Raw genomic sequence first — 12,432 nt, forward strand, 5'->3', positions numbered from 1 at the left:
AAAATACACTGGCACAGCCAAAGGCAGTCCTTGAGAGCCCAGGGGAGTTGGCAGTGGGGAATAGCTATCCTAGCACCTGGCACTATTAAAGGAGCATCGCAGGATTAGCCAACCCCCTGGGCCCTGCCTGCGCCCGTCATCCCCACTCTGCACTCAGTTCACTCTTCCTGCAGCAGAGTCCGGGCTTCCCTGCACCCCTGCTCCACCCTGCCCACTCTTTCCCCAGGCTGGACCATCTGTATCCCTGGTTGGAGCCTGGGGCTGCCTACGTGACTGCGCTTTTGCAGATGTCAAAACAGCAGCTCTCCTGCAAAACGCCGAGAATGCTTCCAATTCCTCCAGGGAAGCTACAATTTGCCATAAAGCTGAAAATGAAAATCCTTTTAGTGGGCCACAACCCAGTTTGTGAATTTCTTAAATTCAAGAAATGTGCATTGACACCCTGCTTCTATAGGCCTTAATCTTTCCAGGACCTCAAGCCTCTGTGAGAGTCTGAAGAAAGACAGGGACTCAGAAAAACAAAATGCTCCTAAGCAGCAATTGCCAAGCAATTTTAGGGAACTGGATTTTAGGGAAATGGATACCATGAACCCCATCCACACATGCTCACACTCCGAGTTCAGAATGCTTGATTTGCTGGAAGCCAGGCACTGAGCTAGACCCTGAGATGGAGAGATGAGGAAGTGGGGGAACTGCCGGGCACGCAAATGCCACCAATGCCACGGGCATGGTTAAAGAGAGGTGAGAACCAGGCCCTCAGGGTTGCGGGGGCGGGGCAGGGGGGAAGATGAACCAGGGTGTAACTAGAATATGGAGAAAAGGGTGCATTTGAATGGGGCTTTGAAGGACAAACGCGATCTTACTGGGGAGAAAATGTAGGGTTAGAGAATTTGTGTACATAGAATTTGTGCTCCTAGCAGGGCATGAAAAAGAAAAAACTTGTTTGGAAGCAGGGCAGTCCTGAGGGTTTGCAGGGGATACGAAGGCTGAGTGGATTCATGCTCTGTTGCTGTGTAAGTCTACCACAAACTGAGAGGCTAGGCACAACACACACTTATTATCTCAGCTTCCGCGGGCCAGGGGTCCACCCAGTTAGGGTAGGTCCTCTGCTCAGGGGCTCTCCAGGCTGCACCAGGGGTCACAGGGACCTGGACAGGAAGGAATCTGCACCTGAGTTCATTCAGGATTTTAGCAGGATTCATCTCCTGTGACTCTAGAACTGAGAGCCCCACCTTCCTACCGGCTGGCGGCTGGAAGCTGCCCTCAGCTCCTAGAAGCCACCACAGTTCCCTGCTACGGGCCTTCTCCATGGGCACCTCCCAACACAGCTGCTGCCTTTTCAAGGCCGGCAGAATCTCTATAAAGTCTGCTAAGACCGAACCTTCTATCATATAAAGAGTGATAGCCCATATTCTTGCTTCTTGCTAGGAGCAAGTCACAGGTTTTACCTGCACTCAAGAGGTGGGGATTCTATGGGGCGTAACAGTGAAGAGTGGAGCTCACAGGGCCATTTCAAGTTCTGTCAGCTGAGGGAAGACTTCGCTGGAAAAGAGGCTTGGAGAGAGTTATGAATGCCCTTGCATGCCAGTTTGAAATGTACGGGAGACAGGGAGCCACAGAAAGGGGATGAGGAGGGAAGGATAGGATTAGAGGCCAAAAGTTCAAGGGGAAGGTAATTTCTTTTCTTCTCTTCTTTTTCTTTTTCTTTTTTTTTTTTGCCAGAGTCTTGCTCTGATGCCCAGGCTGGAGTGTAGTGGTGCGATCTTGGCTCACTGCAACCTCTGCCTCCTGGGTTCAAGCGATTCTCCCACCTCAGCTTCCTCAGTAGCTGTGATTGCTGGTGCACGCCGCCATGCCCAACTAATTTTTGTATTTTTAGCAGAGACGGGGTTTTGCCACGTTGGTCAGGCTGGTCTCAAACTCCTGACTTCAGATGATCTGCCTGCCTTGGCCTCCCAAAGTGCTGGGATTAAAGGCGTGAGCCACAGCGCCCAGCCTGAAGGTACTTTTTATGGTTGGGAGGGGAAAGGATGAGGAGCCATGGGATGGTGAAGAAAGACCCAGTGTCTGCCTCGCTGACCTGCATTTCCTCTTGGTCTCTATGCAAGTGTCACCTGATCAGTAAGGCTCTCCCTGTCCACCTGACATAAAACAACCGCCCACCTCCTCTCTCAAGCCCTCACCCAGCCTTACTGTCTCACAGCTTACCAGCACGTGTCATACCATGTGTTTGCTTCTTTATCTGTTTATTGTCTTTCTGTCCCTTGTAGAATGGAAGGAGTTTGTTCGGCTGACTGCTATATCTCCAGCCACTAGAACAGTGCCTGGGGTATTGTACCTACTCAATCAATATTTGCTAACTAAATGAATGAATGAATGTATGTATTCAAAAGATCTTCTGGCAGTAGACTTGCTAGAATTTCCCATAATTAAAAGGTGGTAGAGGAAGAAGTAAGCCATTAGTGATGCTCTAAGCTTTCTGCCTTGACAGATTGGAAGGTGATGCTCAGTGACATGGGAAGAAATAGGTCACAGTGGGAAGCAGATCTGGATTGAACTTTGGTCTAGTGGACCTGAGACATCCAGGTAGCAGTCAGGTCAGGAGAGCAAGGAGGGTGTTAGAAATGTGAGATCCAGAGCTCATGGGGTAAGTAGGAGAGAAGGGAGTAGATTATGTAGTCAGTGCTAACAGGGAACAGATGAAGTCGTGGGGTTCAATGAGAGAGAGGAGAACCAAGGACACATGCTGGGAAAGAAGAAGCCAGTCTGCGAGGTAGGAGGAGACTCTGGGGTCCCCAAGAAAGAGTTCCAAGAAGGGAGGCAGGTCCTGTTCAAACTATGGAGAGGGCAAGCAAACAAGGTGAGATGTGAAAGGATTTGGTGATTAGAGGGTGACTAGTGACCACAGGGAGAGAATCTCAGAGAAGTGGAGGTTTCCAGGTCAATGAGAGGCTGAGAAAGAAGGAACACGAGGCAGTGGCAAGAACAGATTTTATGGTGAGAAAGGGAGGAAGGAAGGAGGGAGGGAAGAGGATGGATCCAGGAGTGGGAGAAGGAGATTCTGGGACGGACAGAAGTTGCTAGCCTAAATAAGCAGCTCAGCAAACTCACCCTGAGTATCCCCTCCCCTGCTGTGCCCCACCCTCCTGTCAGTGGGATGTGGGAGAAACAGAAGACAGACTTGAGCATACACTCAAGGACATCTGGGTCCATTGAACCTGCCCCAACCTTGGGCTTGTCCGAGCTACCAAGAAAAACTTACAAGGAGGTACTCAGTGGGAACTTAGGGGAGCCCTGGGGGCTACTCGGTTGCACATGGCAGATCCTGGTTCTCACTGTTGTTCAGGACTGGAACCCCTTACAGCCTGTGGCAGATGGCATTTTCTAAAAACAGCCACCACAGTATCTCCCATCCCACTTGCTCTTATACAAGTGACCTTGGCACACCCCTATCGAGGGGTAAAGTCAGTGTCCCTTCATCTTGAACCTGGGCAGGCTTCTGTGACCTCCTTGGCTGGTGGAGTCCACCATAAACCATGTCAGATAACCTCATCCTCACGGCTGGACAAGGCCACACAGCTTCTGCAGGTTTCTCTCTCTTGGCACATGTGCCTTCAAAGCCGTGAGCCATCATGTAATAAGTTATCCCAAAGCCACCACACACACAGGCCCATGTGGAGAGAAACTGAGGCCGCCAGCCCCAGCCCCTAGCCCCACCTGAGCTCCTAGAAAATCACATCCAGGCCACAGCACTCACGATGGCTACAATCTGCCTTGCTCTCTAGGGTTCCCCAAGGCCCAGCTCCCCGTCCCTGCTGTGTGCTCCCTGGGAAGGCTAGCTTCACCGCCCCCCCATACACCTGCCTGGGCCCAGCAGGGATTAACAAACAGGCCCTGGGTACAGCGCCTCCTGAGCAGGACTTAACAGTGTCTGCACAGGTCACCTGCCCAGCTCCCAGCTCCCCACCCACCCCACTCCAGAAAAATGGAAAATCCAGGGACCATCCCAGGCCCAGCTGCGCTCCAGGAAGAAACCAGGCATGCTGCCAAGAATGACACAAAATGGACTTTGGGCCGATTGCCCAAGCTGGACTACTGCCCCCACCTTCTTAGGAAGGGCACTCTTTCCGGAACCAAGGCCATAGCCTGGAACAAAACCAGATGTCTGTAGAGCAGGACATGCCAGGTGGGAGGGGTTGCCGGGGTGTAGGAGGCACATACTTGATGCCTCTCGCACCCTATCAGCCCAGGCAGGCAGGGTGCGGGGAGGGAAGGAGACCCCATGTGTAAGGACTATCATCATTCTATTACTGCAGGCAGCTGACTGCTTCTGGAGGTGGACCTCTGAGGCCTCTGGCATTCAGCCCCCTCATCCCTGCCTTCAGCAATGGGGACAAATCGAGGTTGGGGGGCACAACAAGCTATGCTCTCTGAAAGCAAAACAGATAAGTACAAATCAGGAAAGAATTGTTTCCTATCCTGTATTTGTGTTAGGATACATGTAATCTGTGGCTGGGCACAGTGGCTCCTGCCTGTAATCCCAGCACGTTGGGAGGCCGAGGTGGGCGGATCACCTGAGGGTCGGAAGTTGGAGACCAGCCTTACCAACATGGAGAAACCCTGTCTACTAAAAATACAAAATTAGCCATGCCTGGTGGCACATGCCTGTAATCCCAGCTACTCGGGAAGCTGAGGCAGGAGAATTGCTTGAACCCGGGAGGCGGAGGTTGTGGTGAGCCGAGATCACACCATTGCACTCCAGCCTAGGCAACAAGAGCAAAACTCCAAAGAAAAAAAAGGATACACGTAATCTGTACCTCTGGAGCATTTAAAGTAAGACCTGCTTTATTGTCTTATTCTCAAGTTATCTTAATAGATATTTCTTGAGCACCTATAATGTGCCAAGCACCATAGATATATTTTCATAAATACATATGTGCATGAATATGCAAAGGATGTCTCTAGAATAGTGGTTCTCAACCAGGGCTGCCAGGGAATGATTGTCAATGTCTGGAGGCATTTTTAGCTGTCACAACGAGGAAGGTGCTACAAAAATCGAGTGGGGAGAGACCAGGGATGCTACAAAACATCCTGCAATACACAGGACAGCCCCTGCAATACAGCAACAACTTCTCTGGTCCAAAGTGTCATTCGTACTGAGATTGAGAAACTCTAAAAGGATACACAAGAAACGTGTTCACAGTGAACACCCCCATTGCAGGGACTAGGGGGCCAGTGTGCATGGGTATGCAAAATCATTAGTTTTCCTTGTGTGCCCTTGTGAGGAAGGGCATTTTGTAGAGTCTCTTATGAAGTGCATGTATTACTTGTTTTTAGAAAAGAATAACTGTGACTTGACTGAGCCATAATTATTTAGTGGTCTTCTCTTGATTGCTGGGGGAAGGAATTTAAAGAGGAGGAAAAGCAAGGGCCTGCCACAGTACCTGGGACCCACAGTCCTGAATCCACCTAGTCTTCCTCTAGACCAGAGTGTTCCCACCTGGCACCAGCGCATGGTGACCCAGTCTGTTCTTTCCTGCAGGGACCATCCTATACATTGGAGGATGTTCAGCAGCATCCTGGCCTCTCCCTCCCCAGATGCCAGTGGCAATCTCTTCCCCATTTCGACAACCCAAAATATCTCCAGAGATTTCCGATGTCCTATGGGGAGCAAAAACATCCCTGGTTGGGAACCACTGTGCTAGATTTACTCTGTGAAAATCTAAACACAAAGAAGTCCCCACTCACTGACCTCAGGGACCTATGGCTCAGCTGGATCCTCAAGGAGACACTGACCCGCAGACAGGCCATGCCCTGGGCCAAAGGACTAAGGACACGGAGACAGCAGACACTGCATGGAGCCAAGGGTAGGGAAGAATGTCTCCTGCAGGAAATGTTGCCCACTGATTACTGATCATAGAGAGGGGCCTCTTGGCCTCCCCTAAAACATCTGCCCATTTCTTTTTTTTTTTTTTTTTTTTTTTGAGACAGAGTCTCACTCTGTCGCCCAGGCTGGAGTACAGTGCAGTGGCACAGTCTCGGCTTACTGCAAGCTCCACCTCCTGGGTTCACGCCAGTCTCCTGTCTCAGCCTCCTGAGTAGCTGGGACTACAGACGCCCACCACCATGCCAAGCTAATTTTTTGTATTTTTAGTAGAGACGGGGTTTCACCGTGTTAGCCAGGATGGTCTCAATCTCCTGACCTTGTGATCAGCCTGCCTCGGCCTCCCAAAGTGCTGGGATTACAGGCGTGAGCCACCGCGCCTGGCCAACATCTGCCCATTTCACAGAGAAGGAGGTGGAGCAGAGGAGTGATAGGGCCTCAGTCACAGAGTGAATGATGGCTAGGAGAAGCTGGGACGGCTCTATTCCCTGTAGCATCCCAACACGTCCTGGGAGACTTTCCTTGTTCTTTATCCACTCCCTGACTCCATGGACACCCCCAAGTCTCCTGGTGCCTGCTTCTTGAAAGGGGGTCACCTAAGATGGCTCATGACTAGCGTCGTGTATTTTCTGCATTTACCCTGTATTTCTAGATAAACAATCACTCCGCTGTTCCCAAACACCGCAGTGGCTGCACACTGAGGTGTCTCCTAGGGGCTGGAGGATCACATCCGCAGCTGCACACCACAGGCCCAGGAAATGTCCACCACCATTAGGCTGTGCCACCTTCTGCAGCTACAGGCAGCTGAGACCCAGGGAAACCCAGTTTACAAAACTCTCTGACATCTACATAAGTGAGAGTGGCAGGGAGAAATAGCATGAGAACTAAAACCCACCTTGTTTCAACTCCTTAAGGAAGGCAGCTCAGGGCGAGTCCAGCCTTGGGCAATGAAGTCAGCCAAGACATTCCTTCCACCAGGTTAGAAAAAGTCAGATATCAAAGAACCTAGGCTTTAAAGCCAAACTGCCTGGGATTGTAACCCCATTCTGTGACTTCCTGGCTGTGTGATCTCAGACAAGTTACTCAACCTCTCTGACCTCTCTGAGCTGAGTAGCTGCATCTATACGACAGAGATGATAACACTGACCACTCTATAGTATCATCAGTCAGCTGAGATAATACAAGTGAAGTTCTTAGCACAGAGACCAGCACATTGTAACTACATGTTACATGATTCCTGCTATTATTTTATTATTAAGCATAAATATAATAACAACTACCTTACTGTGGTTCATGAGCTGGTATGTGGGGCCCCATAGAAATTTTCACAAATAAAGTCCAGTTTGGAGGCAACAGGGCTGGAAAACTATGAAATATCTGATCGTTTATATAACATCCCTCCTCCCACCATCCCATATTGAAAATATAAAAGGATCTTTTAAAAACAAATTTTAGTGGATCTTTTAAAAACAAATTTTACCCCATCTGAACAGCTAAGACCTGACTGCCCTGTTCTTGGTTTCAGCTGTTTTCCAGCTGCAGTGTTTTTCTCGTTGATCAGAGAGAAATCCCCAAGGTCTGGCAAAGGAAGCCTTTAATTGCTCTGGATGGACCGATTTTTGGCTTAGCTGCTCAAGCATATAATTGAATGAGAGGGAAAGAGAATATCACTTTGAGATTGCTTTGAGATGAATATACAGTCAGACATCCCCGCTCCTGACCAGATCTCAAAGATTCTCCTAGCCTGACTCCCACAAGCTCTGCGGACAGAGAACACGAAGCGTTCACTTCATTTTCCTGAACTTTATCAAAATAATAACAAGAGTGATCATAACAATCGTTGTCCTTTATCATATGTGCTTGTAGGTTGGAATTCCCCAAAAGTGAACTCTGAGACAAGGATTTGAGTCCATTGACTTTCTTTGGAGGGAATCCTGGAAGCACAAGGAAGAAAGACAGAGAATGGAAGACAGCCAGGGAAGCAAGTTATGGCTGGGGCCGCTGGAGCTCAAGCCCCCTGGGGACTCTGGGAGCCAGTGCAGCGCGCACACTTCAGCATCATCTCATCCAGGGATGAGGGCACTGGGGAATTTATGCCCCAGATCCCATCAGCCATTGGTTGAGGGCTGTTCCAAGGCTGTATTAATTCCCTGGCACTTCCAGCCATCCCCACTGCAGGCAGCCCAAAGAACAGGAACCTGGGGCAAAAGAGCCACAAGTCAGGCCTTCTGCAAAGGCACCAGCAGCATCCCTCCAGCACCCAAATATGACACAACCCCAAAATATGATCATTGCCCACTTCTCCACTCAAAAGACCCAGAGGATTTGTGACCTAATTGAATATATAATCTTTTTATAAGTAGATAAAAGAGTTAAATATCTATAACATTTAATTTACCCTACATGCTTATAATCACATATTATATGTTAATGATATATTAATTTAGAAAAGTTGCTATCTCTGCCCTCATTCCATGACTCAGTTTTATTCCAGCTCTTCCAATTCATCATTGCTCTCATGGTCTTTGTCATCATCAAAGCCACCTTTTGAATCATCTTAGTTTCCCAAGCACATCTTCTTTCCTCCCCTCTGGGTTCTTGGCGATACAGCATTTTTGGAATCTGTAGGATGCTTTCACTGAAATTTTTATCCCAAGCCTTGAGCACCTATTTGCATAACATTAGGGCAGCTGGCTGTTCCATTCATCTCAGAGGTGCCAATGCGTGCTCTCCATAATGTAACCACGGATGGTATGGCTTTCTTAAGTGTCCTTAAAAGACTCGCTCACTCTCATAGTGCAACACTGTGATGCCACACCCTTGGAAATTTGTTCCAAATCTGGGTTACATTTCCTAGCTTCCTTTTTAGCAATTCCTTCAAGATAACCTTAGTAAATAGCCAAAAAAAAAAAACCACCGATCAAGGTTGTTTCAGATAACATCTCGCCTAAACAGCACTTGGTTGTTTAAAGTAAAATAGTTGGGAGCACCCCACAACATGAAAGACTGTGTGAGTCTTTCTTGAAAATAGAAAGTCTCATTCCAGAGATCATCTGGGGAGCGGGGAGCTTTGGTGAGTATCCAATCCTGATAGTGGTTTTGACAGTCACATGCATAAACCCATCTTAATCTTCACAACCACCCCAGGAGGTGGGTTCTATCATTATTCCCATTTAACAGATGGAGAAATTGAGGCTTGAGTGGCTGAATAAGCAGTGGTGGGTGTTACTTGGGGATATGCACACCTTCCCCCACCATGCCGCCACCCCTGATGGGGGAGAGCTGTGCCCATGGGCGTAGCTGGTAGACTCCTGGGCCAACCAGCAAACCCTAAGGAACAAAAAGCCCCAGCTGGCCCGCAGCCATGGTGAGGTCCTCACTCAGTTCCCTCCACTTTCCTGAGTGAGGAAAGAAAAGGGCAACTTCCACCCTTCCTGCTGAAAACCTCTGCAAGAAAATGCAAAGAAAATTCCCCTCTAAGGGATCTGGAGCTGCTTCCAAAACCCACACCCAAGACCATTTCAAATAGGAAAGCAAAAGTGTGCAAGAGTTTTTAAAACAAGACAAAGTGGAAAAATCTTGACTCCCCCTTTCTTGTCTGTCTTGCTAATCAGTCCATGACACTTTGGGTATTTACTGATTAACAAAACTGAAGAATTGGCGAGGGCTGTGAGGGAGAGGATTCAGCCTGGTATCATAGGGAGACTGTGGGCTTTGGTAGCTGGCAGGACTGAGCTCACTGCCTTCGGGCACTCTCAGCCTCAGTTTCACCATCTGTAAGATGGGTAATAATCCCTACCTCGCACTGCAGTGATGGTGATGAAGATTAAGTAGAATGCAGCAGTCAACATAAGTCAGAAATCGGTAGTGTCAATCCCATCCTGCACCATCCCTCCTTTCCTCTTCTGTTTCCAGACAGGTTATAGGAGTAGGGGTGCTGCAATGGGACAGACTGGGTCCCTCTGGAGTTGGGAACGAGAGTTACCATAACGAGGAGTGGAGACCTGGACGCCTGGCTTCCTGCTCTTGCCTTTCTCAGGCACCTCTTCCCACTGGGAGAAGACCACGCGACCTGTCTGCCAGAAAGCCCTCCACCCCACCCCAGACCACCCCAGTCCTGCCTGTGGCCACACCCGTGTGTGGGACCCTCGTCTCCCCAAGGTGAGGTGAGTGGATGGAAGCCCCATAGCTGCAGCTGCACCCCTGCCTTCCAGAAACCAGGTATGGGAGCTAAAGTGGAGGAAACCGAGAGGGAGAAGACAGGTCAACAGCCCCAGCAAAGAGAAGACGGGGTGTTCTCCCCGAAAGGGCCCCTGAGGGGCACACGCTGGAGGCATGGCTGCTGAAGCCCCAGACCAAGCCGAGGGCATCCTGGGTTACACTGGTGGGTCTCAGAGCTGCTGGAAGGCTGCTCCTGGCCTCGCGCTCCCATCTCCTCACAGCTGCGAACTGTGAAGGGTTCTCAAAAGCAGGGTTTCAATTTTGCAAACAGATCTTCAGAAAAGTGTGCCTCCCAGCTTCCCACGGCCAGCCACGTCGGCAAAACATACCTCGGGAGAGGAGTCCGCTGCCAAGGAGGCTGGGAAACAGCCCGGAAGCCCAATGCGCCTCGGGAGGCTCTGTTTCCAATCAGCTGGTGGCCGTTCCCCCCAACTCGTTACCATAACCAGATTTGGGGTAAGTGAGCATGCCCCATTTCATGAACAGTTGTCAGAGAATCCCCAAATCCTACTCTCTGACAGGCCACACAGACCCCCCAGCGCAGGCAGCCCGGTGTCCTCAGGAGAAAAATGAGAGACTTGCTCAAGGCAGCTTCTCTGACCTCATCCAGCTCAGACGTTCTCTGATTTCGTATTTTCCCTGGACTTCCTTTAGAATAATTCCACAGGGTCTAGTACACTAGCCCCCTTAGTAATCCCTCATTATGTAAAAAAGAGAAAAGAGGAATATGTGAACTTTCTAGATATAGCACTCACACAACTCACAATTTAAAAAAATTTAGCAACAGGGTCTTGCTCTGTCACCCAGGCTGGAGTGCAGTGGTGCAGTCATAGCTCACGGCAGCCTCAAACTCCTGAGTTCAAGTGATCCTTCCACCTCAGCCTCCTGAGTAACTGGGAATACAGGTGTGCACCACCACAGCTGGCTAATTTCTTAGGTATTATTATTTTTTTGTAGAGACAGAGTCCAGGCTGGTCTTGAACTACTGGCCTCAAGCAATCCTTCCACCGTGGCCTCCCAAAGTGCTGGGATAACAGGTGTGAGCCACTACACCCCGCCCAGAGTGCACAATTTAGTTGTCAAGGAAAGATGGGTAGACAGTTGTTTTTTGGCAGCCCCCTTTCCCCTTTCTATTGCCTACTCCCCAAAACACTGACGGATACAGGGTGCCAAGCCATTATATTTTCTAATTCAAGAGTTAAATAACATTAAAGAATAATTTTTGGAAAAAAGACAAAATTATGACTCTCATTAAAATATAAAGATTTTATTTAACTCATTAATTAATGGGAAGTAGTTAAGATGTTCTAACTGGTTAAAAGGAGAATTCCAAGAACCACACACATGTAAGTCAACAGGAGGCTGAAATGAACTTGCAGAGGAAGTTTATCCACAGGGCAACCATCGAGTACATTCCCCGGGACACAAGGAATTTGCATTTCTATGAACTCAAGTCATTTGCACTATTATCAGTTCTCTGTGACTTATAGAGTTGTAAATGGCTCAAAGGCAATGGAAGGCAGTGATAAACTGGAAGAGTGCTCTAGGCTGGACATTCAGTGACATTTGCTCTTTTTTGTCCATTTGAAAGTCTTTTACTAATTTTTCCTGATGGTAATATAGGAGACCAAATGGTGGAAGAGTCAATAAAGGCTACACTTAGAGGACACTGATCCCTCCAGATTGGAATCCTGTGGAAAATTCTTGGAGGAGACAGAAGTTGAGCTTAATTTTGAGGGCTGGTGAAGATTTGGAGGCTGGGAGGGAGCCTCCAAATTATTCTTTAATGTTATTTAACTCTTGAATTAGGTATCACACCTGTAATACCACCACTTTGGGAGGCTGAGGAGGGAGGATCGCTTGAGCCCAGGCATTCTAGACCAGTCTGGGAAACATGGTGAGAGCTCGTCTCTACAAAAAAATATTTTTTTTTAATTAGTTGGGCATGGTGTGCACCTGTGGTCCCAGCTATTCTGGAGACTGAAGTGGGAGGATCGCCTGAGCCCAGGAGGTCAAGGTGGCAGTGAGCCATGATCATGCCACTGTACTCCAGCCTGAGCAACAGAGCAAGAAACTTTCTCAAGAAAAAAAAAAAAAATGATATGAAGAGGAGCACATCTGGCTACAGAGGCTACAGAGGCGAGTGTGGGCGGAAGTTTGGAGGGAGGAAGGAACCAGGCGTGTTCTGCTGGCAGGGTGCACTTTTCTGCCCAGAAAAGTGGGTTTGTGAAGGAAGCAGGTGACAAGGTTGGAAATGTAACTTGGGACATCCTTGTGGCTTTTTACTGTGGCTCTCAGCTTCTTAACAGTCCTGGAGAAAGAGAGGT

At 48.9% G+C, this 12,432-nt stretch overlaps 1 annotated feature.

Moving 5' to 3' along the window:
- Positions 11,289-12,017: an enhancer, noted in NCBI's record as "OCT4-NANOG-H3K27ac-H3K4me1 hESC enhancer chr20:17851770-17852498 (GRCh37/hg19 assembly coordinates)". NCBI's record gives its function as "activates a minimal SCP1, AML or CMV promoter by ChIP-STARR-seq in primed H9 embryonic stem cells {active_cell/tissue: H9 hESC(primed)}" and the evidence as "EXISTENCE:reporter gene assay evidence [ECO:0000049][PMID:30033119]".

Source organism: Homo sapiens, chromosome 20 (genome assembly GCF_000001405.40).
Source record: "Homo sapiens chromosome 20, GRCh38.p14 Primary Assembly".
Lineage (NCBI taxonomy): Eukaryota > Metazoa > Chordata > Mammalia > Primates > Hominidae > Homo > Homo sapiens.